The sequence below is a fragment of the Homo sapiens genome, chromosome 10 (genome assembly GCF_000001405.40).
Source record: "Homo sapiens chromosome 10, GRCh38.p14 Primary Assembly".
NCBI lineage: Eukaryota > Metazoa > Chordata > Mammalia > Primates > Hominidae > Homo > Homo sapiens.
The window spans coordinates 69,984,660-70,010,614 of record NC_000010.11 but is presented as its reverse complement, the minus strand read 5'-3'; the positions used below and the strand labels follow the sequence as shown (position 1 = coordinate 70,010,614).

At 40.0% G+C, this 25,955-nt stretch overlaps 1 long non-coding RNA gene across 3 annotated transcripts; it reads left to right on the top strand.

The window, feature by feature from the left end:
- The first annotated feature begins 1,295 nt into the window (after positions 1-1,295).
- LINC02636 (long intergenic non-protein coding RNA 2636) lies at positions 1,296-24,765 on the top strand. 3 transcript variants are annotated; one of them, NR_184066.1, is made up of 5 exons: positions 1,296-2,860; positions 2,946-3,158; positions 9,121-9,228; positions 15,761-15,823; positions 16,785-24,765. It is a non-coding gene; the product is annotated as a long intergenic non-protein coding RNA 2636 (long non-coding RNA). The 3 variants fall into 3 exon arrangements; NR_184065.1 differs by having other exon boundaries at positions 9,121-9,232; NR_184064.1 differs by lacking the exon at positions 9,121-9,228.
- The last annotated feature ends 1,190 nt before the right edge of the window (positions 24,766-25,955 follow it).

Genomic DNA, 25,955 nt, shown 5'->3' with positions numbered 1-25,955 from the left:
TGCTAACAAATTCCTTCAATTTTATTTGTCTGAGAAAGTATTTCTCCTTCACTTTTTAAAGATAATTTTGTAGAATACAGAATTCTAGGCTGTTGGCTTTCATTTCCTCAACTCTTTAAATATTTCACTCTACTACTCTACTCTCTTTTTGGCTGCATTGTTTTGCAAAGTTGAATACAATTCTTATCTTTGCTTCTTTATAGATAAAGTGTTCTCCCTGCAACCCTCCCAACTTCTTCCTGTAGTTTGAATATAATATACCTACATGTCATTTTTGGAGGCTTTTATTCTGCTTGGTGTTTTCTGAACTTCCTGGATTTGTGGTTTGGTGTCTGAAATTAATTTGAGGGAAATCCTCAATAATTATTGTTTAAATATTTTTTCTGTTCCTTTCTCATTTTCTTCTCCTTCTGGAATCCCTATTCTGCATGTTATACCTTTTGTAGTTGTCCCACAGTTCTTGTAAACTCTGTTCCATTTTTCTCCCAGTCTTTTATCTCTTTGCTTTTCAGTTTCGAAAGTTTCTATTGATATATTCTCAGGTGCAGAGAATTTCTTTTCCAGTCTACTAATGAACCCATCAAAGGCACTCTTTATTTCTGTTTTTGATTGCTAGCATTTCTTTTTTGCTGTTTCTCAGAAGTTCTATATCTCTGCTTACATTACGCATCTGTTCTTGCATGTTGTCTACTTTTGCCATTAGTTCCTTTAACATATTAATCATAGCTATTTTAATTAATGGTCCGATAATTCCAACATTCTTGACACTCCTGGGGGGTTTGATTCTGGTGTTTATTTTGTTTCTTCAAACTGTGTACGTATTCTTTTAGTATGCCTTGTAATTTTTTGTTGAAAGTCAGACGTAATGTGTTGGGTAAAAGGAACTGAGGTAAATAGGCCTTCAGTGATGTGGTGGTAAGGTGTTGGGGAGGGGCAGTGTTGTATAGTCCTGTGATAAGTCTCAGTTTTTTTTTTTTTTTGAGATGGATTCTTGCTCTGTTGCCCAGGATGGAGTGCAGTGGCATGATCTTGGCTCACTGCAAGCTCCGCCTCCTGAGTTCACACCATTCTCCCACCTTAGCCTCCCGAGTAGCTGGGACTACAGGCGCCCGCCACTACGCCCGGCTAATTTTATTTTTGTAGTTTTAGTAGAGATGGGGTTTCACCGTGTTAGCCAGGATGGTCTCGATCTCCTGACCTTGTGACCCACCCACCTCGGCCTCCCAAAGTGCTGGGATTATAGGCGTGAGCCACCGTGCCCAGCCAAGTCTCAGGTTTTTTTTTTTTTTTTTTTAACCCCTTTAGGTGGGACAGGATGGCTACAGGGGCCTGGATTTGGGTATTTGCCTTCCCTCAGGTTTGTTAGGATCTGATAAAATCCTAGTAGGGTTAGGCTTTGGTAAAATAGTTTCTCTTGAGGACAGGCCTTGTTAAGAAGAACAGAATGTTCTGGAGTATTTCAAAATTACACCTTTACTTTACTATTCCTCTCCCTCTTACCATTACTTTTCCCTCTTCCTGCTGGAAGCCCAAGGAGATTTTTCTCTGATGTTCACTGTGAGAACTCGGAGGAACTCCTGGAGGTAAAGTGTAGGCATCCCCCTTGCAAGTGGGCCCTCCTGGAGCTTTAACTCCCAGACTTGTCCACACGGAGCCTCCAGCAATTCATCAACTACAGTTCAGGTTTTTCTAGCCTGGTATTTGTTCCTGCACAGATTTCTTTTTATGAGTTTCTGCTCCTGTAAGTTGATTCTCTGTATCCTCCTGTCTAGGACTACTGGTTTGCTCTGCAAATTTAATTTTCTAACAAATCTAAGAAGAGGTACTGATTTTTGTTTTGTCAAGTTTTAACTTGTTAGGACAGAGTGATGACTCCTAAGGTCCTTATGTGCTAGATGGGGCAAGCTTCTTTTTATTTCAAAGGCTTTTCTAATTTTCTCTTAAGGCATTATACATTGTGATTACTTGCTCTTGTGTTCCTTATAGTATAATATTTATTCTTGAATAATGTATTTTAAAATTTGAATTCTTTGCTGAATTGCGTCACTTCAATTTTTTTTATCTTTTTGTTTTTCTCTTTTCTCAAATAGGAAGTACTGTCATTCTGACAGCAGGTTCACCCAAAGGGTACACCTTGACTTTGTAATAGTATCCCTGACTGTTCTGTTAAATTTCAAAATGAGAAAACTCTTTTTCGTCTATTGACAGATAATGTGCACCCAAATTAAGTGTGAGTGGGGGTCTGACTGTATGTCTAAAGTGTACAGGCAGAGATGAATGTGTGTGGCTTTAGCAGATCCACACTCATCCAGGGATAACTGGACCATGGGGGCAGGGTGGGAGTGGAGAGAAGTCATCATAGGATGGTAATCAGGTGCTTGCAGGGAGAAGAGAAGGAAAAGCAGATGAGTGAACAAGGGCAGATGGTGCTGGAGAATTCCATCAAGTGGGCATCAAGAAGGGACTGGAGGTTAAAACCTTTGGGATAAAGAAGAAGAAAAAAAGACAAGCTGGTAAAAAGTAAGGTCTGGGGGGTGGAGGCAAGAAGGGGAGTTGCTAAAAACTCTAGAATAAGCAGTAAGACATCTTTCAATAAAACTGCCCCTTCCCAGATGGCACCTGGGCACTGTTTGCTGGGCACAAACATGGCACTGTTTCCTAGGAGATGATTCCTCCAGTTCTTTAAGGTAGTAATGAATGACAACAAGAAGTTACTTCTCTATGCTACACACGGTGTAGAATCCAGAGCCTGACTGGCTGTGACGCGCCCATGGTGACACCAAGGGGACTCTGCATGGGCACATCCCGGCCCTCCTCCCTGCATGTTCTCCAAGCCAGGTCTTTGAAACCTCCAGTGATGGTAGGTGTTAACTCCTACATGTGGGTGGTTGGCTAGTGACCCCAAAGAGCCTCTGAGAAACTTGGAATTCCCCTTCTCTTTCCAGGGAATGACAGAATCTGGGATGATTTTCTTCTGTTTCTTATCTAAAAAAACAACAAAAAGCTCAGCATACACGGACTCACACAAACCTTTTGCTAGAGGCAGCTCTGTAGACTTAAGACGCTGTCATTTTTCAGAAGAACCCAGCTTGCTTTGGAACTACAGTCAGCCCTGCAACCCACCCTCACCTTGGACCCTGCTGCTGCTGTCTGTAAAGGTGAGTGAGATAATACCTGCTGCTCAGCTCAGGTCCCTCTGTCCAACAACCTGGGTCTGCTGTTGGGAACAAAGAACAGGAGAACAAAGAAAAACTCCCAGCGGCCTTACGGACCACACGGCTTTGCAGCAGACTCAGCCGAACAGTTGTCGAAACACCTGTCACCAGTATGTGGTTTTTAATGATGAGCTGTCGCTGCATTTCTGAGTTGCTCTAGTTCTTACTTATGTTATTGCATGTGTTATATCATTTAAAAATGCCACTTAGCTCATTTTGAAATGGAAGATTACATTTTGATCAGTTCTGGGACCTATTTTAGTGGCATATTTTCATGATCTGTAGGAATGTTATTTTGTTCGTGATCTTTTTTCTTATAATAACTTTATATGGACTTTGATGTGCATGCTTTTCTGTTATTCGATTTCATGCAAAATTAATTTCCTAAACTTTTGGAAGAAGCTATGATGCAGAGTGGCTTTGCTAACTTGCTAGAGCTCCCTCTTCAAGGAGTGTTTTGTGAAGTGTTAAAAAATATAGTGATGTCCTTGCTGAGATTTTGTGGCTCTGTTCATCTCCTCTATTTTCATGTGGATCTTCTCTTTTCTTCACCTCCATTGTCCTGCAAGGTGGGGCCCTGTCCTTAGAGGGAGGCAGGTCAATTTTGAGAATTCACGGAGAGTTGACTGCCTCTGGTCCTTCATATCTTACTGGGGACCCCTTGCACTCACTAGCCATTGGATTGTGTAAAGCACTCTCTTTCAGGTGCTAAATTAAAACTGACCCATATACTTTCCAACCAATGCCTACTGGATATTTTGGGGGTCTCCTGTTTTCAGGTTTATTATGTGTCCCATTGTTTTTCTCTGCTCTCCTCTGCACCAATGCTAGTGCAGGTCTTGTGGCTACTAAGGTTTTGTCCCCAAGTGTATGTTGATGTTGTGGGGCTAGCTTAACACCCAACATTTTTTTCCAATTGAGGTATAATCTACAAACAACAAAATGTACAAATCTTAAGTGTTATGTTGAGTGAGTTTTGGCAATGTGTGCACTCACCTTGTCACCTGATTTTGAGATAAATATTGTCCACAGTTTTTTTTTAAATAGAGATAAAATTCACATAGCAAAATTCACCATGTTAACCATTTAAAAGTGTATAATTCTGTGGTTATTAGTATATTCACAAATTTGTGCAATCATTACAACTATTTAAATCCAGAGCATTTCTATCATCCCAAAGAGAAAACCCATACTCCCTATTGCCCCCCCAGCCCCTGGCCACCACTAATCTGCTTCTGTCTCTATGGATTTGCCTAATGAGGACATTTCATGTAAATGGAATCACACAATATGTGGCCTTCTGTGTCTGGCTTCTTTCACTTAGCATAATGTTTTAAAAACTCATCCATGTTGTGGCATGTATCAGCACTACATTCCTTTACTTGGCTGAATAATATTCCATTGTAAACATATACCACATTTTATTTATCCATTCATCAGTTGATGGGCATTTGTCCCCCTGCCCCCTCACTTTTGGGCTCTTATAAATAATGCTGCTATGAACATTTGTGTACACATTTTTGTGGGAATGTATATTTCATCTCTCTTGGGTATATACCTGGGAGTGGAATTACTAGGTATATGGTAACTATATCCTCTTGAGAAACTATCAGACTGTTTTGCTAAACTGGTGGCACTACTTTACATTCCAATCAGCAGGCTATGAAGGTTCCAGTTTCTCCTCATCATGCCAACCCTTGTAATTATCGATCTTTTAAATTAGAGCCATTCTAGTGGTATGAAACAGAGTATCATTGTGGCTTTGATTTGCATTTCCCTGATGGCTAATGATGTTGGGCATCTTGTCATGCGCTTACTGGCATTTGTATGCCTTTTTTGGAAAAATGTGTTTTGAGATCCTTTCACTACCTTCTATTTGGTTTATATGTCTTTTTTTAATCATTGAGTTGTAAGAGTTCTTCATATATACTAGATAAAAGTCTCTGATTAGACATACAATTTGCAAATATTTTCTTTCATTCTCTGGTTTGTCTTTTTTCCTTCCTTCCTTCCTTCCTTCCTTCCTCCCTCCCTCCCTCCCTTCCTTTCTGTCTTCCTCTCCCTCCCTTCCTTCGTTCCTTCTTTCCTTCTTTCTTTCTCCCTTCCTTCCAACTTTCCTTTTTTCCTTCCCCTTCCTTCCTTTCTTCCTTTCCTTCCTCTCTCTGGCTCTCTCTCTCTCTTTTCTTTCTCTCTCTTTCTGTCTTTCTCTTTTCCTTTTCCATTTCCATTTCCTTTTCCTTTTTCCTTTTCCCTTTTCCCTTTTCCCTTCCTCCCCTCCCCTCCCCTTCCCTTTCCTTTCTTGTCTCACTCTGTTGCCCAGGCTGAAGTACAGTGGTACCATCTTGGCTCACTGCAACCTCCACCTCCTGGGTTCAAGGAATTCTCCTGCCTCAGCCTCCCAAGTAGCTGGGATTACAGACATGTAATCCTAGACCACACCCAGCTAATTTTTATTTTTAGTAGAGACAGGGTTTCACCATGTTGGCCAGGCTGGTCTCGAACTCCTGACCTCAAGTGATCTGCCTGCCTCGGCTTCCCAAGTGCTGAGATTACAGGTGTTAGCCACCATGCCCAGCTGTCTTTTTCACTTTCTTGATGGTATCTTTTGAAGCACGAAGTTTGGTATCCTTTGAAGGATGAAAGTTTTAGATTGTGATAAAATTCAATTCATTCTTCTTTTGTTGCTTGTGCTTTTAATGTTATACCTAAGAAGGCTTTGCCTAAATGAAGGTCATGAATACTTTTCCCTATATTTTCTAATAAGATTTTATAGCTTTAGTTCTCACATTTTGTTTTATGGTCCATTTTGCATGTTTTTTGTATGTATGTTTTATGTGAGAGGAGTCCACATTTATTCTTTTGCATGTGGATATGCAGTTGTTGGAGCACCTGTTTTTGAAGACCATTCTTTCCCCCTTGAACTATCTTTGCACCCTTGTCTAAAATCAATTGGCATGAGGTTTTATTTTTGGACTCTCAATTCTATTCCACTGATCTATAGGCATATCCTTGTGCTAGTACCAAAGTATCTTAATTACTGTAGCAAGTTTTGAAATTGGGAAGTGTGAGTCTTCCAACTTTGTTTTTCTTTTTAAAGATAATTTTGGCTATTCTAGATTCTTTGAATTTGCATATGAATTTGAATTTGCTGTCTTTTTTGTAAATTTAAATACTTTTATGCTTCAAAGGATACCATCAAGAAAGTGAAAAAGACAAACCAGCGAGTGAAAGAAAATATTTGAAAATTGTATGTCTAATCAGAGACTTTTATCTAGAATATATGAAGAACTCTTACAACTCAATGATTTAAAAAAAGACACGTAAACAATTAAAAGGAGGTCAAAGGATCTCAATACACATTTTTTCAAAAAACACATACAAATGCCAGTAAGTGCATGACAAGATGCTCAACATCATTAGCCATCAGGGAAATGCAAATGAAAACCACAATGAAACTCTGTTTCATACCACTAGAATGGCTGTAATTTAAAAGATGGACAATTATTAATACAAGAGCTCATGAGATAAGGAAAAATTGGAACTTTCACACACTGCTGATTGGAATGTAAAGTGGTACAACCACTTTAGAAAACAATCTGATAATTTCTCAAGAGGATAAACATAAAGTTACCATATACCTAGTAACTCCACTACTAGGTATACCTAAGAGAAATGAAATAGAATCCACATAAAAATTTGTATACAAGTTTCCATAGCAGTTTATTTTATGGTAGCCAATTGTGCTATGAGATGTCTGGGTGTGGATCTCTGCATTTATTCTATTTGGAGTTCTTTGAACTTCTTGGAAATATAGAGTAATACTGGCTTTCATCAAATTTGGGAAGTTTTTGCCATTTTTTAAAGAATTTTTTTATACCATTTTCTCTCTCTTCTCTTGGTACTCTTATTTATCATATGTTGATGCAATTAAAGGAGTCCCAAATTCTTTGAGGCTTTGTTCATTTTTCTTCATAAGTTTTCTCTGTTCTTGAGATTGCACAAGCTCTATTCATCTACTTAATGTTCTCTGATTCTTTATTCTGCTAGGTTAAATCTACTGTTATGCCTTTTCTGTGAATTTTAAATTTCAGTGATTGTACTTTTCAACTCAAAAATTTCCCTTTCGTTCTTTTTTGTACTTTGTATCTCTTCATTGGTATTCTCTTTTGATGAGACATTGTCATCATACTTTACTTCTTTAGCGTGCTTTCTTTAGTTCTCTAAACATATTTATAATGGCTGCATTTCAGTCTTTGTGTGTTAAGTGTAGCCTCGGGGCCCTCCCACAGGCAGTTTCTGTTGCTTGATTTTTCCCCTCAGGTATGGGTCACAACTTCCAGTTTCTTTGCCTGTCTCATAATTTCTTGTTAAAAGCTGGGCATTTTATATTTTATTTTGCAGTAATTCTGCATACAGATCCTTCTTCTTGAGTTTGTTGTTGTATTTTTCTTATTATTTGTTACTCATTTAGCTGGACTATTTTAGTAAAGTCTGTTTTCCCACAGCTGAAGCCTTTGGTGTCTCTCCTCAGAGGGTGCAGGCTTAGCCATGCTCATGGTCACCTTGGAATAAGTAGTTTTTTTTTTTTTTTTTTTTGAGACAGAGTCTTGCTCAGTTGCCCAGGCTGGAGTGCAGTTGCACGATCTCGCTCACTGCAAGCTCTGCCTCCCGGGTTCACACCATTCTCCTGCCTCAGCCTCCCGAGTAGCTGGGACTACAGGTGCCCACCACCACGCCCAGCTAATTTTTTTTGTATTTTTAGTAGAGATGGGGTTTCACCATGTTAGCCAGGATGGTCTCGATCTCCTGACCTCGTGATCCACCCACCTCAGCCTCCCAAAGTGCTGGGATTACAGGGGTGAGCCACTGCACCCGGCCCTGGAATAAGTAGTTTTAGCAGGGCTATCTCTGTCTCTTTTCCTCATTTCTTTGTTATGCTGTTTGCCTCTGTTGGTATCACACCCAGATGTTGGGCTCCACTGTTAGCTAATTCCTCTATTTAGTTTTTGACAATGTCCTAGGGCATAAATTGCTCCACAGTTTTATTCAATTAAATTTAAACTCCTTGGCCAGGCGTGGTAGCTCATGCCTGTAATCCCAACACTTTGGGAGGCCAAGGCAGGTGGATCACTTTAGGTCAATAGTTTCAGACCAGCCCGACCAACATGGTGAAACCCTGTCTCTACTGAAAATACAAAAATTAGCTGGGCATGGTGGCATGGGCCTGTAATCCCAGCTGCTTGGAAGTTGAGACAGGAGAATTGGTTGAACCTATGAGGTAGAGGTTGCAGTGAGCCAACTTGGTGCCACTGGACTCCAGCCTGGGTGACAGAGCAAGACTCGGCCTCCAAAAAAAAAAAAAAAAATTAAACTTCTTTGCAGGAGTAGTTTTTGAGGCCAATCTCTGAGGTTTGCTTTGATCTCAGGAGGACTCTTAGCGGTCTCCATTCATGACACTTTCTGGTAAATTAGCTGGACTGTAGTTTAGTTTGCTGCTCTCATGGAGCTGCCAACCTTTCCTTAATTGCTTGCCACCAAAACTTCCACTGTTTTTGAGAGAGCCCTTAGGTTGAACTTCCCTATATTCTTTTCCAAAAAGTCAGTACCTTTGGAAGGTGCTTTGGAGCTCTCTATTCTTGTAATCTGCCTTGTCTGCTGGGCAGAATCTCTGAGCCACTATTCTGGAGCTGGAAGCAGTGATAGTAGCCCAATTCTCTTGCAGTGACAGTTTGGTTGAAGAGTAGGGCACTGAACCGGGCAGTGGTAGCCTCTGGTCTTCTTGGCTTCCCTTTCCTGGCATGGACCCTCTGAATGATGCCTTTCCTGGCATGGACCCTTTGAATGATCTGGAGCCTGGTGTTCTCAGCCTGCTGTTTCTGATGTCGAACCTCTGCTTTACATTTAGGGTCTGGATGAAGGAAGGGAGCCTCCAGCTTGTCGGCTGTACTTGCCCAGAATTTAGCCTTTGCAACATGGAGCTGCGGGGATGGGAAATGTTGTCCACTAGCCTTCCGTAGGTATATACTGTGGCCCTTGAGTGGGAGCTGAGGGAAGGGGGAGCCTGTCTTCTAGGCCACACCCACTCATAGTGGAGCTTCCATTACCCTGACCTGTGGGGGAAGGGTGGATAGAGGGTGGGTCATGGCTGAAGTGCCACAGACTTGCTATTTCTGCTATGATTTAGTAGAATTTCTTGAATAAAGATCTCTACTTGATATATTTCCATTAAGAACATTTCCAGATAATTTAAATGATTGGTTTTTTTCTTATAATTTTCACCATTTTATAAAAAATTCTGTGGTGGTTTCACTGTGGGGCAGGTCTGTGAAGCTCCTCACAATACCATTTTCATTTAGAAGTGGAATCACTAGTTTGAGTTAAAGTTTGTGTCTAATAACTAAAATATTTGAATTTCCTGTTTGTTTCTGTTGTTTTTGCTTTTGTCTTGATTTTTAGTCAGTATTTATACTTTTATCTGCTTGGTTATCTTTGGTGAAATGCCAAAGATCACACACAAAAATTTTAGAGATAAATTGTGTCTCTAGATGATTAAATTTCCTTCCAAAGAGAATTTACTTTTGCTTCTGGCAAGCAGATCAGTGGCAGATAACCTTAGTTCAATTAGAAATTGAAGGCCAGGCATGGTGGCTCACACCTGTAATCCTAGCATTTTGGGAGGCTGAGGTGGGCGGATCATTTGAGGTCAGGTGTTCAAGACCATCTTGGCCAACATGGTGAAACTCTGTCTCTACTTAAAATACGAAAACTAGCCAGGTGTGGTGGTAGGTACCTGTAATCCCACCTACTGGGGAGGCTGAGGCAGGAGAATCACTTGAACCTGGGAGACAGAAGTTGTAGTGAGTGGAGATCGTACCACAGCACTCCAGCCTGGGCAACAGAGTAAGACTCTGCCTCAAAATAAATAAATAAATAAATAAATAAATAAATAAATAAATAAATTTTTAAAAAATTAAAAAAAATTAGAGATTGATATGATATAAAGGTAGTTGTGATGATTAATGGCATGTGTTAACTTGACTGGGCTACGTGATGACCACGTAGCTGGCAAAACATTATTTCTAGGTATGTTTGTGAGGGTGTTTCCAGACTCAAATTGCAACTTGCACCATTGACCTGCCCGTTTCTCAGGCCTTTGGACTTGTCCTGAATTACACCATTAGATCTCCTAGTTCTTTGTCTTGCGGATGACAGATTATGGGAATTTTCAGCCTCTATAATTGTGTGAGTCAATTCCTATAATAAATCTCCATCTATCTGTCTGTCTGTCTATCTATCTCCTATTAGTTCTGTGGTTATTTTATTTTATTTTGTTTTTTTGAGACAGGGTCTTGATCTTATACTCAGGCTGGAGTATAGTGGTGTAAACACAGCTCACTGCAGCCTTGACTTCTTGGGCTCAAGTGATCTGCCTGCCTCAGCCTCCCTAGTAGCTGGGACCACAGATACACATCCTCAAGCCTCGCTAATTTAAAAAGTTTTTTTTTGTAGAGACAGGGTCTCATCATGTTGCCCAGGCTCGTCTTAAACTCCTGGCCTCAAGTAACCCTCCCACCTTGGCCTCGCAAAGTGCTAAGATTATAGCTGTAAGCCACCATGCCCAGCCTTAGTTATGCTTCTCTGGAGAACACTAATACAGTAGGCTTTAATCCTTAGAAGGGCTGGTCTATTTTGGCTCACTCTTTCTTTTAGGGTATAACCCTTCAGGGTTTCATTTGAAATGTCTTACCTCCTTGGTGGGCCTAACTCCGATTTTTAGGCTCCCAGTCAACTTGAAGTCAGTAAGTCAACTGAAAGATTGTTCAGCTCCTCAGCTATTGTTTTCAAATTGGCAAATACTTTAAGGGAGGAAGTTATGTTATAGTCCCCTTTCTGGGATTTCCTTTATTTTGGGTCTTTTGTTCTATAAATCCTAACTATTTTGATAGTTCTCCAATGCCTTCAAACAGGTTAAAAATATTTAGTCTAGCTTTTATAGCTGTTCTCAGTAGAACAAAACCAGCCAACCCACTTATTTCATCACTGAGTTTTAATTTTAATGAATATTTAAATATTTTCCAGAAGTTTTTCTTTTTTCTTTCTTTTTTAGACAGAATTTTGCTCTGTTCCCCAGGCTGGAATGCACTGGTGCAATCACAGTTTACTGCACCCCTGACCTCCTGAGCTCAAGCAATCCTCCCATCTCAGCGTCCTGAGTAGCCAGAACTATAGGCACACCACTACACCTAGCTTTTTCTTTTGCCAGGTTTAAAATTGTTTCCTTAAAAAAAAATTGCCCAATCTTTTTCATAGTGTCTTGTCCACTTTGTATAGTTTCTACAGTAAAAAAAAAAAAAACCTCTCTGTTTTTTTAATTTTTTTATTTTTTGAGACACCGTCTCACTCTGTCACCCAGGTTGGAGTGCAGGGGCTTGATCTCGGCTCACTGCAACCTCTGCCTCCTGGGTTCAAGTGATTCTCCTGCCTCAACCTCCCAAGTAGCTGGGACTACAGGTGCCCGCCCCCATGCCCGGCTAATTTTTGTATGTTTTTTTTTTTTTTTTTTTTTTTTTTTTGAGACGGAGTCTCGCTCTGTCACCTAGGCTGGAGTGCAGTGGGGCAATCTCGGCTCACTGCAACCTCCGCCTCCTGGGTTCATGCCATTCTCCTGCCTCAGCCTCCCGAGTAGCTGGGACTACAGGCGCCCGCCATCACGCCCGGCTAATTTTTTGTATTTTTAGTAGAGACGGAGTTTCACCGTGTTAGCCAGGGTGGTCTCGATCTCCTGACCTCGTTATCCGCCCACCTCGACCTCCCAGAGTGCTGGGATTACAGATGTGAGCCACCGCTCCTGGCCTAATTTTTGTATTTTTAGTAAAGATGGGTTTCACCATGTTGGTCAGGCCAGTCTTGAACTCCTGACCTCAAGTGATCCACCCGCCTCAGTCTCCCAAAGTGCTGGGATTCAGGCATGAGCCACTGTGCCCGGCAAGAAAAAATCTCCTTAAACATTTTTTTTTTTTATTTTTTTGAGACAGAGTTTTGCTCTGTTCCCCAGGCTGGAGTGCAGTGGTGCAATCTTGGCTCACTGCAACTTCTGCCTCCTGGGTTCAAGCAATTCTTGTGCCTCAACCTCCCAAGTAGCTGGGATTACAGGTGCCCGCCACCATGCCCAGCTAATTTTTGTATTTTTAGTAGATATGGGTGTCACCATGTTGGTCAGGCCAGTCTCGAACTCCTGACCTCAAGTGATCCACCCGCCTTGGCCTCCTGAAATGCTGGGATTCAGGTGTGAGCCACTGTGCCCGGTCACATTCTTGTACATATGTTCTTGTGGGCTAATTCTTTTAGTTCTTATAAGGTGGAGTCCTATAAGTTGGACTGTTGTGTGAAATGTACGTGCATTTTGTAAGTCAAGAGCTATTGCCAGATAACTTTTTTAAAATGCTGTAGAATGTGAAACTTTTCTTAGCCATGTATGAGAATGCCCGTTTTCCTGAGTCCTTGCCAGTGCCATGGGAGCTGTTGTAGCCTTCTCTCAGCTTGGCATGAGAAAGAGCCTGCAGCACTTTAACCTGGGTAAGCTTCCAAGTGGTCCGTAGGTAGTGGAGGTGGAGGAGGTAGAGAGAGGATACCTCAAGAGGGATATGTTGGACTGCTTCTAATTGGGCAAGTGGTTCTCTGTATAATTAATTTTTGAAAAGGGAAAGAGAAAATTTATAGTTTGTGAAGCAGGTGTCATCAGTTGTGGAAGATCTACTTCATACTAAAGTTTGGATCTATTCATCTTTTAAAGCGTATGCTTTTAAGTCATGCACCAGGTGTCAATTGGTTCATAAAGATAATTCCAAGGCCCCCATTAAGGTGATTCTAGTAACTGTTCAATTGTTCTGGCATTGTTGGAGCTTTAATTCAGTTAATTCAGTTTTGGCCTTACTCTTTGAATCCACCTCTCAATTCTTATTCTCAAAGGGATTGACTTTGGTAACTATTCTTGCTGGCTTAGGCTCAAGACTTTCCCCTTTCAGAAAGTTGATCTTGTCCTTCTCTCCCAGTTTTTTACTCTATTGGGCTGTGACCCTTGATTACACTATGTTGGCCACCCCTAAGTTCTATTCCTGGCCCACTTGCAATAACTTCTATTCCTGGCCCACTTGTGATGAGCTGGGGTTGGTGGAGAATAGCCATCTAGATGATGCAGGGCAGGTGAGCTCTAAAATTGGGGCTTAGCCTACCCCTTACCTGTTGAAACCTGTGTTTCATGTGCTATCATGGAAGATAGCACAGGAAGTTAAGGAGAAGATACATTATAAAGATGAGTGTTATCTTGAGAATATTCATATGTGAAATTAACATTGATGTTTTTGAATGAATGGTAAGGGAATGGAGAGAACTGGCTGATGACCAGTAACATAATGAAGCTGTGAGTTTCAAGCAGAGAGTGTTTAGCAGAAAAAAAAGTTATATTGGGCAACATTTTGCAGCTTATTTTGATAGTTTTTAAATTAGAGGAAATGCAGTAGATGTTATATGCGTAAATGTTAGCAACACATTTCAAACAGTGTTTGGAAATTTTACTAGTGAAATTTAAGATGGCTTGGAATTAGAAACAGTCACATGGTTTGCAATCTGCTTAAAAGACTGCAAATTGCAAATGGTATTGTTTAGTAGTTGGCTGAGAACCTTAACAGAGGTTGTAGAGTCTGAAAATTATCGCTGGCATCTCTAATTCTTAAGAAAAATGTCTTGGAATTTCAGGAGTTTCTAAGCAGTATATTTGTAAGAAAACAAAATAATTTCTGTCCTCTGGGGAATCTCAAAGTGCTGAGAGCTGACCTGTTAACAAAGTGGTAGGAGTGGACAGTGCTTTATGAAGACGGACATTTTATGTTCAGCTGTGGCAACCAGCCTGGCCCTAAGAGATGCTCTGTAGCAATTAATTCTCTTTGTGGTGGCTGATGGCTTCATACTCTGTGTGTTGTAGGGATTTAGAAAGGTTTTCCTATAAAATAGAGTTGTCTGTATTCCAAATCATTGTGGGTTACTTTATGTAAATTATTCCATTTATTTTCTTGAATAACTTTTGGTATTGTTTGCATGTTGTATTGATGTTATTTTCCATGATTAAAAACAACTCAATTTCAGGCCAGGTGCAATGGCTCACACCTGTAATCCCAGCACTTTGGGAAGCTGAAGTGGGTGGATCACTTGAGGCCAGGAGTTTGAGACCAGCCTGAGCAACATGGTGAAACCCTGTTTCTGCAAAAAATACAAACAGCTGCGAGTAGTGACTACGCACCTGAAGTACCAGCTATTTGCAGGGCTAAGACAGGAGAATTGCTTGAGCCCAGGAATTTGAGGCTGCAGTGAGCCATGATCATGCCACCTAACTCCAGCCTGGGTGACAGACTCTGTCTCAAACCAAAAACAAACAAAAAAATTCTGAACCATTGATCAGAATTTGTCTGTTTTATTGTATTCCAGGGAAATTGTTTCCCACTTATTTTCTGCCTGTTTCCCCTGCTCCATCATTGATTTTTATCTATTCTTAGAGCAATCTTAAAGGATATATTGACCAAAAAAAATTCATAATCCCATCACTCTACCTCAGAAACATTCAGGGAGCTACTTTTTCTTTGAGTTATATTTGTTAACTTTGTTCGTGTGTAATTAGAGTCTACAGTTTTGTTTCTTCCTTTTTTTATTCTACTTAAAATCGTCAAGAACATTTCCTCCTGTAGCTACAAAGTCTGTCATCGTCATCTTTATCATCACCACATGGTTTTAAGATTAAATGATAATCTGAAAAGATGAAAGAGCAAATTTACTTAACTACTTTGTGGAAACCATCCTAAAATGCAGTAGAAAAGTCCTCATCCTTTTTCCCAAAGGTACATAGGTCTGTTGGTTTCTATTCAGAAGAGCGAGGCTACTTTCAGGAAGTGAGTTGGAGAAATACCAGGCACTCAGTCAGTTTACTGTCCAGCTCAGAGACAAGTTAAAAAAAATTTTTATTCCAAAAACAAATAAACTATTGCAGAAAAATTGGAGAGAAAAATCAGTTTTAATTTCACCATTGATACTACCATTGTATTATATCTCTTCACTTTTTTGTTTTATTAGTACACTCTCCTTCCCCAATTTGGTTTCTTTTCATTCCCTGTCTTTTGTTTTTTAAAAAAGTGGAATACATGAAAACATTCTTACTGTAAAATATTAAAATAATTATTAAGTGGATAGAAAACAATAAAGTTTGCCTTCTTTCTAGCACACTCATCTCCCTGCTCTAGGGATAAGTTACTGCTGTTTGGTGAGCATAATTCCTATTTTATTTCCATGTGGTTTCATATGTACTAGTATATTCGTAGGACAATTATATATTGTCCTATGAATAGTATCATTTGTATATTATTGTGTATCTTGCTCTTCCAGTTTGCTGTATATCCTAGAGCTAGTTTCCTTTCTATAGAAGGAATTATGTCAGAATTTAAGATTATTTCCTCTATTGATGGACATTTAAGTTTCTTTCTTTTTTTTTCCTGTAACAGACAATGCTGCGATGAATACACCTGTGCATTCTTTTTTAGAACAAGTGTAAGAATTCCTATGTGGTAAGTCTGTTTAAAGAGAATTTCAGATTCACGTGTAGATGTGTTAAGTTTGAGCGATGTTGCCAAACTCTCTTGAACTTATACCCTCTGTAATAATATATTGGGATATTTGTTTCCTTTTGTTCTTGTCAGTTTTCATACTATAAAACTTAAACATGTTTGACAATCTGACTGGAAATGGCTTTGTACTGTTTTAATTTACTTTTCTTTGCATTATGGTAGATATCTCTAACTGTCCTCTAGTATCGACCTTCTTCCTTTTAGTGGTTAAAGACTACATTTCCCAGCTGCCTTTGCAGCTGGCTGTGGTCATGTGACTTAGTTCAGGCCAATGGGATGAAAGCTTGCCTTGGTCTTCCCCTTTTCCTCTTTCCAGCAGCTGGAAAAGTGCTGACCAGAGCATTGTTGAAGGCCGTATAGTAAGAATGGCAAAGCTTCCCTACCAGCCCAACTGACTGTTTTGTGGTGCAGAGGCCATCTATTATGTGAGAGAGAGCAATAAATATATATATATATATTTTTCTAAGAGACTGGAGTCTCACTATGTTGCCCAGGCTGGCCTTGAACTCCTGGCCTAAAGCAATCCTCCCACCTCAGTCTTCCAAGTAGCTGGGACTACAAGTGTGTGCCACCATGCCCAGCTCTATAAACGTCTATTTTTATTGAGTCCCTATGTGAGATCATTTTCTTGTAGCAGCTTACATTCTGTACTAAATTATACATGCAATTTTTCAAATGTATTGGACATTTACACTTTTTCTTCCATGATTTGCTTGTTCAAACCATTTGCTTGTTTTCCAGTTAGGTTTTGCTTTTTACATATTTTAATGGGTATTCTTCGAATATTTTGGAAATTTCTCCTTTGTTAAAATGTTATACCTCCCTCTCCCTCTCCCTCTCCCTCTCCCTCTCCCTCTCCCTCTCCGTCTCCCTCCACGGTCTCCTCTGATGCCGAGCCAAGGCTGGACGGTACTGCTGCCATCTCGGCTCACTGCAACCTCCCTGCCTGATTCTCCTGCCTCAGCCTGCCGAGTGCCTGCGATTGCAGGCGCGCACCGCCACGCCTGACTGGTTTTCGTTTTTTTTTGGTGGAGACGGGGTTTCGCTGTGTTGGCCGGGCTGGTCTCCAGCTCCTAGCCGCGAGTGATCCGCCAGCCTCGGCCTCCCGAGGTGCCGGGATTGCAGATGGAGTCTCGTTCACTCAGTGCTCAATGGTGCCCAGGCTGGAGTGCAGTGGCGTGATCTCGGCTCGCTGCAACCACCTCCCAGCCGCCTGCCTTGGCCTCCCGGAGAGCCGAGATTGCAGCCTCTGCCCGGCCGCCACCCCGTCTGGGAAGTGAGGAGCGTCTCTGCTTGGCCACCCATCGTCTGGGATGTGAGGAGCCCCTCTGCCTGGCTGCCCAGTCTGGAAAGTGAGGAGCGTCTCTGCCCGGCCGCCATCCCATCTGGGAAGCGAGGAGCGCCTCTTCCCCGCCGCCATCCCATCTAGGAAGTGAGGAGCGTCTCTGCCCGGCCGCCCATCGTCTGAGATGTGGGGAGCACCTCTGCCCCGCCGCCCTGTCTGGGATGTGAGGAGCGCCTCTGCTGGGCCGCAGCCCTGTCTGGGAGGTGGGGAGCGTCTCTGCCCGGCCGCTCCGTCTGAGAAGTGAGGAAACCCTCTGCCTGGCAACCGCCCCGTCTGAGAAGTGAGGAGCCCCTCCGTCCGGCAACCACCCCGTCTGGGAAGTGAGGAGCGTCTCCGCCCAGCAGCCACCCCGTCCGGGAGGGAGGTGGGGGGGGTCAGCCCCCCGCCCGGCCAGCCGCCCCGTCTGGGAGGGAGGTGGGGGGATCAGCCCCCCGCCTGGCCAGCCGCCCCATCCGGGAGGTGAGGGGCGCCTCTGCCTGGCTGCCCCTACTGGGAAGTGAGGAGCCCCTCTGCCCGGCCAGCCGCCCCGCCCGGGAGGGAGGTGGGGGGGACAGCCCCCCGCCCAGCCAGCCGCCCTATCCAGGAGGTGAGGGGCGCTCTGCCCGGCCGTCCCTACTGGGAAGTGAGGAGCCCCTCTGCCTGGCCAGCCGCCCCGTCCGGGAGGGTGGTGGGGGGGTCAGCCCCCCGCCCGGCCAGCCGCCCCATCCGGGAGGTGAGGGGCGCTTCTGCCCGGCCGCCCCTACTGGGAAGTGAGGAGCCCCTCTGCCCGGCCACGACCCCGTCTGGGAGGTGTGCCCAGCGGCTCATTGGGGATGGGCCATGATGACAATGGCGGTTTTGTGGAATAGAAAGGCGGGAAGGGTGGGGAAAAAATTGAGAAATCGGATGGTTGCCGGGTCTGTGTGGATAGAAGTAGACATGGGAGACTTTTCATTTTGTTCTGTACTAAGAAAAATTCTTCTGCCTTGGGATCCTGTTGATCTGTGACCTTATCCCCAACCCTGTGCTCTCTGAAACATGTGCTGTGTCCACTCAGGTTTAAATGGATTAAGGGCGGTGCAAGATGTGCTTTGTTAAACAGATGCTTGAAGGCAGCATGCTCGTTAAGAGTCATCACCACTCCCTAATCTTAAGTACCCAGGGACACAAACACTGCGGAAGGCCAAGGCCGCAGGGTCCTCTGCCTAGGAAAACCAGAGACCTTTGTTCACTTGTTTATCTGCTGACCTTCCCTCCACTATTGTCCTATGACCCTGCCAAATCCCCCTCTGCGAGAAACACCCAAGAATGATCAATAAAAAAAAATAAATAAATTAAAAAAAACAAACAAACAAACAAAAAAAGTTATACTTTTTTTTTTCTGTTTGTCTTCAACTTTATGGTGTCTTTCCAGAGAGAACAGTTAAAATTTTTTTTTAAAAATAAGCATGTGTTAAATCTTATAGTTGATTAATTTTTTAAATGAAGGAAATGGTAAGATATTATAAGCAGTTGAAAGGATAATCCAACAGACATATTTATATATCAGAAATATTGAAATGAAAGTGCAAATGGAAAAATAACTGGCTTCCTGCACAATGGAAGAGGAAAATCAATGGAACTTTCACTGAATATAATTAATTTTCATGTTTATACAAGAATTATTTTGCATTAATATCAGTTATCTACAACTTACAGAGTTGTAAAGTAGCTCAAAGGCAATGATAGAGTTAGATTTAGATTACCTGTAAGAGTGTGCACTAAAAATGCATAGCTTTTTATTAGAGACAACAAGTCCTCTTTTCTGCCTATTCCAAAGTTCCTTACATTGTCACATTCTGGTTGATAGGTTACCTCCATCTCTGATTAGTTACTGTATATTCGTGAATCTTTTCCTCATGAGCTACAGATTGAGCATCTCTATCTTGTACTATTTTTGCCTCCCCATTTTTCCAAATATAGTATTAGAAGAAAAACTGGTGCTTCTTAACTATAATACTTAGTGTAATTAACTTACCGAACCTGCAAGTTATTGGTCAACCACAATGACTGTTTGATTTTCATGACATGTTCCAACAACATGAATGTATGTTTTACTATGCATTTTTTACTATGCATTCATAGTTTAAAAATGCCCTTGGAGGTCTGTGGAAAGTGAAATTTTAAATTTTAATGAAGCCAACTCTCTAAATCTTATGACATCTACATTTTATATGTTCTTAGAAAAAACTATTCTACTCTAGAATTATAATCTTTTTCTTTCCCCTAGTAGATTTTTTTTTCAAAAAATTGTCTTAATCCCTTTGGAGTTCATTTTGGAAAAGATGAAATAAGGGCTAATTTTATTTTACTTTTACAAATGGATATTTAGTGTAGCACTAGATACTGAATAGTTCATCCTTCACTGATTCGAAATGCCAACATTTTGTATAGTAAGCACTCACATTTACACATGGATCTGTTTCTGGATATCTCTTCTAGTCCATTACTTATTTATCTTAGGTTGAGCCATCAATAGTCTGTTACTTAGATATTGTTACTTATGAAAAATTTCAAGCATACATAAAATAGAGAAAATAGTATCATAAATACAACATATCACTATCGCAGTTTCAGCAATTATCAATATTTCCTTACAAATGCTTACTCTATCCCTTTTCTCTCTCTCTAGTTGCTGCACTGTTTTAAAGCACATCTCAGACATCATACCATTTGACCCCTGAATACTTCCATATACAGCTCTGAAATAAAAAATTACGGCATTTTCCTATATAACTGTAATACCATTATCACCTCTGAAAAATTAAGAGCAACTCCTTAATGTTATTGAAGTTCCTACCTACGTTCAGTTTTCTCTGGTATAACACACTATTTTAAATATCTCTGTATCAACATATGATGCTTTTATACCTTGCAGGGCAAGTCTCCCTTGCATTATTCTTTTAAAAACATTTCATTGCTCTTCTCACATATTATTTTCTGTGCCAGAAAATTATTTCCAATCACTCTGTCAAATTTCATAACAAGTTCTGTAGAAATTTTGCTTTGAATTACATTTAATTTATAACTTAATTTGTGGGAGCTTTACAGTATTGACAGCTTTACAGTATTGATTCAATTCATTCAGAAATGTAATGTCTCTCTATTTATTTAAGTCTTCTTTCATGGCTTCAGTAAGGAGTTAGAGTTCTTTTTCATAGGCAGGTTACATTTACTTCTGTTTGCCTCCTCTGTGTTCTTCCATTTCTCTTGCTTTCTTTTGGATTGTATTAAAACTGTTTGGACTTCTATTTTAATTTATCTATTAACTTTCTAGCTATTCCTCTTTATATTACTTTTTATATTACTCTTTGTGTTACTTTTTAAATAGTTCCTCTAGGGCTTACAACATATTTCTTCAAATCTTCACAGTTGGAGTATTGTTCTACTACAACTAATGGAAGTTAGTATTGTACTACTTTATGTGAACCCTAAAATCTTGCAACTGTATAGATCCAATCATGCCTTCTCATCCATTATGCTATGTAGTTGTCATATGTGTTGCCTTTACATATGTTATGGATCACATGTCATGATTTTTAAAACCATTTTTTGTAGTTGAAAAAAAAGAGAAAAATATTATGTTATATTTACCTAGATATTTGCCATTTCCAATGCTTGTCACAATTCCTGAAAATCTAAATTTCCATTTCATCTGGAATCATTTTTTTCCTTTAGCATTTCTTATAATGTGATTCTGTTGGTTCTTAGTTTCTTTCTTTCTTTTGTTCTTTTTCTTTTATTTTCTTTTTTTTTTGAGAAAGGGTTTTGCTCTGTTGGCCAGGCTGGAGTGCAGTGATGCAATCATGGCTCACTGGAGGCTTGAACTTCTGGGCTCAGGCAATCCTCCCACCTCAGCCTGCTGAGTAGCTGGGGCCACAGGTGTGTGCCACCATGCCCACCTTTTTTTTAAAAATTTTTTTGCAGAGACAGGGTCTCCCTGTGTTGCCTAGGTTGGTCTTGAACTTCTGGGCTCAAGCCACCCTTTTGCCTGGGCATCCCAAAGTGCTGGGATTACAGGTGTGAGCTACCGTGTCCGACTCTTATCTGAAAATATCTGTTTTTCGCTTTCATTCTTGACATGATGAATATTATAGAATTCTTTGTTGATAGGTTTTTCTGAAACATTTTAAAGATATTGTTGCATTGTCTTTTGGCCTTCATGATTTATGATGTCAGCAGTCATTCAAATAATTGTTCAATGTTTATATGTGTCACTTGTATCTGGTCACTTTAAAAATTTTATCTTTTTTTTGTTTGCAGAAGGTTGATTATGATCTTCCTAGGTGTGGATTTTTTATTCTTTTGGGGATGCATTGAGCTTCTCGAATATATAAATTTACTTCTTTTATCATATTAAGAAAATTTTGGTCATAATTTCTTAAAATATTTTTTCTGCTCCATTCTCTCTCCTTCTTTTGTGCAACTCCAATTACATGGATGTTAAACCTTTTGATATAGTCCCACATATCACTAAGTCTCTGTTCATTAAAAAATGTTTTTCTCTGTGCTCTTCAGATTGTATAATTCTATTGATCTATTTTTACGCTCATTGCTGCTTTTGTCCATCTTCCTCAATTTGCTGTAATTGTTTTCCAGATATTGTATTGTTCAGTTTTAGTATTTCCATTTGGGTTTTTTTTTCTGTAGTTTTTATTTATCTGCTGAGATTTTCTATTTATCATTTATTGTGAGCACATTTTCCTTTATACCCTTAAGCATAGTTATACTAGCTGTTTTAAAATCCTTCTTGCTAATTTAAACATCTGGGTCATCTTGGGGTTGTTTTGTATTTATCAACATTTTTCATGAGAGTGAGCCACATTTTCTGTTTATTTGGGTATCAAGTAATTTTTTATTGTCTATTGGGCATTATAAATGCTATGCTATGGAGATCTAGATTTTGTTACAGTCCTATGAAGAACCTTGATGTTGTTGTTTTAGCATGCAATGTATTTGGTTTGACTCAAATTATAAACATCGTGTCCTTGTGTCTTTGGTGACAGATTAAATTTCAGTTTAGTTCTTTTAGCCTTAGCTGGCTGCTGAAGTCTGTCCACATATGTGTGGTCCAGGGGTCAGGCAGGGATTTAAGTAGAGTTTATATACGAAAGTTAGTCACTACCTCTGTGACTCTCTCTTTTCTGGTATTACTGCCTCATTGTATAGTGGCTATATTTGTCCTGAACTCTGTCTTCTAGGTTTTCAAGTCAGAAAGACTGCAATTTTGATGTTTTAGTCACCCTATATGGCATAGACTGAAGCCTGCTGTCAGGCTTGAAGCCATGAAAATGTGAAACTCACCCAGTGTCATTCCTATATTTTAACTGTCAACTCCGCTCCAAAATCTACCTGCTTTTGGTCTTTTCCCAGTGCCCTCAAGTATTTGTTTTTTTTTCATATTTTTTCCAAAGGTTATTGTTTTACCTGTGGAAGGGTTGGTTCATTTAGAGCTTCCTTGGTCATTATCAGAAGCTGGAATTCCATATTTCTTGTTTGGTTAATTGCTAGGCTGCCCTTCCTTCCCTTCCTTCCCTTCCTTCCCTTCCTTTCCTTCCCTTCCTTCCCTTCCTTCACTTCCTTCCCTTCCTTCCATTTCCTTCCTTCCCTTCCTTCCTTTCTTTTAGGTTTGATAACCTTCTGAAGGGAATTTCCCCCCATACAATATTTTCCCACTGGTTTTTACTGATATAGAAAAAATATTAAATTTTGTTCATAATATTGTATCTGGCTACTGTGCTAAACCCTTTTATTAATTTTAATGATTCATTAATCTGTGCTCTTGGGATTTTTCTAGAAAAGTGTCATAATATTTACAACTGAAGATGTTTGTCTTGTTCTTTCCACTATTTATACTTTTAATTTTTTAATTTGTTATTCCATTGACTAGGACTTCTAATACAATGTTACCTCTAATACTTCACCATTAAGAAGGATGTTTGTGTAAAATTCTTGTAGATATTCATTCTTGAATGAAGCTTTCATTTTTAAATTCATAATTAGTTAAGATTATATTAGTTTTGATTTATGGGTATTGAAAAGTATCAAATACTTTTCCTTCATCTATTACAATTTTCATTTTTTCCTCATTAATCTATTAATATAGTCCTTGCATTCCTGGCATAAACCTCACTTGATTCTCATGGATTAATCATGAAATGCATTGTTGAATTTCATTTCACAACATATTATTAGGGATTTTTGTTTCTATATTCCTGAACAGAGTGGACCTACAGCCTAATTTGGGGGCTGTTCTTGTCTAGTCAAGTACAGGGTTATGTTAACTTCATAGTTTAAGTTCAAAAAATTTTCATCTATTTTTATATACTTTTATAGTTGATGTACCATGGCAATTATCTGTTTCTTAAAAATTTGGTAGAACTTGCCTGTAAAACCATTTGAGCCTGGAGTTATTTCTATTAATAAATCTCTGATGCTTCTTACAGTTGTTTATTCAGGTTATCTACCCCTTAATTGTGCTAATTCTAGTATACTTTATTTTCCTTGAAAATCGTCAATTTCACCATCATCAAATTTATTGGTATAAAATTATATATAATAATATCTCGGCCAGGTGCAATGGCTCATGCCTGTAATCCTAGCACTTTGGGAGGCTGAGGCGGGTGGATCACCTGAGGGTCAGGAGTTCCAGACCAGCCTGGCCAACATGGCAAAACCCCGTCTCTACTATACAAAAATTAGCCGGGCGTAGTGGTGGGTGCCTGTAATCCCAGCTACTTGGAAGGCTGAGGCAAGAGAATTGCTTGAACCCGGCGGGGTGGAGGTTGCAGTGAGCCGAGATTGTGCTACTTCACTCTAGCCTGGGCAAAAGAGTGAGACTCCATCTAAAAAAAAATTATATATAATAATATCTCATAAATTAAAAATTCTCCCCCAAATTTGTAATATACTTTCTCATTTCTAATATTCTTTATTTTTGTTTTGTTTTCCTTTTTTTCTAATTATATAAACTTATCAGAATTTTGTCTATTTTATTAGTCATTACAAAGAACCAGATTTGGATATTACTAAATAACTACTCTTTTTCTTTCATTTGTTTATTATTAAATTAATTTCTGTTTTTATCTTTAATAATTCTTTTCTTCTATTTTCATTGAATATTTTGGTTATTCTTTTTTATAGCTTTTGGGTTATTTTTATCCTTTTTTTATTAATAAATTAATGTTTTAAATTTTCCTGCACTATTTTGTTTTCATGTATAAATTTTGTGTGTTCTTAGTGTCACATATTTTAAAGTAATTTATAATTTGTTTTGATTGCTTCTTTATCTAGTTACTAAAAATACTGCTTAAAAATGTACACATGAATAAAAATACATGTATTCTTTAAATATCCTTGTTATTCATTTCTAAATCGATTGCATTTTGGACACAGGAATGAAACCTTCATGATTTCTGCTTTTTATAATAGATTGAATAAGGTTTTAAAAGAAAGTAATCTTCTGTTTTGGCAGTGTGATGCCTATAACTAATCAATAAAACTTATTTACTAATTATAATCTATATTGTTATCTCTTTTTGTTTACTTAGTCTGAGAGAAGTAGATGAAAACTATCCTATTATGGCACAGTGTGGTAACTCACACCTGTAATCTCAGCACTTTGGGAGGCTAAGGCAGGAGAATTGCTTGAGCTTAGGGGTTCAAGACCAGCCCGGGCAACATAGTGAGATCTGTCTCTGCAAAAATTTAAACAAAATTAGCCAGGCGTGGTTGGCTCACACCTGTGGTCCTAGCTGCTCTGGAGGCTGAGGTGGGAGAATTACCTGAGCTAGGGAGGTTGAGGCTGCAGTTACAGCCTGGGTGATTTAGCAAGATCCTGTCTCAAAAAAAAAAAAAATCGATGTTGTAGCATGGATCAGGACTTCATTCCTTTTTTTTGGGTGAATAATATTCTACTGTGTGGGTATACTGTATTTTGTTTATCCATTCATTAGTTGATAGGCATCTGGGTTGTTTATACTTTTTTTTTTTTAGAGACAGAGACTTGCTCTGTTGCCCAGGCTGGCATGTACTGGCACAATCTCGGCTTGCTGCAACCTCCACCTCCTGGGTTCAAGCGATACTCCGCCTCAGCCTCCAGAGTACCTGGGACTACAGACACCCACCACCACACCTGGCTAATTTTTTTTGTATTTTTTAGTGGAGACGGGGTTTCACCATGTTGGCCAGGCTGGTCTCAAACTCCTGACCCCAGGTGATCCGCCTACCTCGGCCCCCCAAAGTGCTGGGATTACAGATGTGAGCCATGGTGCATGGCCTGTTTATAATTTTTAACTACTAAGTAATGCTGCTGTGAACATTAGTGTACAAGTTTTTGTGTGAACATGTTTTCATTTCCATTTCACATATACCCAGGGGTGGAATTTCTGGGCCATCTGATAACTCTATGCGTAACTTTTTTTTTTTTTTTTTTTTGAGATAAGGTCTCACTTTGTCACCTAGGCTGGAGTGCAGTGGCATAAACATGACTCATTGTAGCCTCAGCCTCCTGTGCTCAAGTGCTTCTCCCACCTCAGCCTCCTGAGTAGCTGGGACTACAGGCATGCACAACCATGCTCAGCTAATTTTTAAAAACTTTTCTGTAGAGATGTAGTCTCACCATGCTGCCCAGGCTGGTCTTGGACTCCTGGGCTCAAATGATCCTCCTGCCTTGGCCTCCCAAAGTGTATGCTTAACTTTGAGGAACTG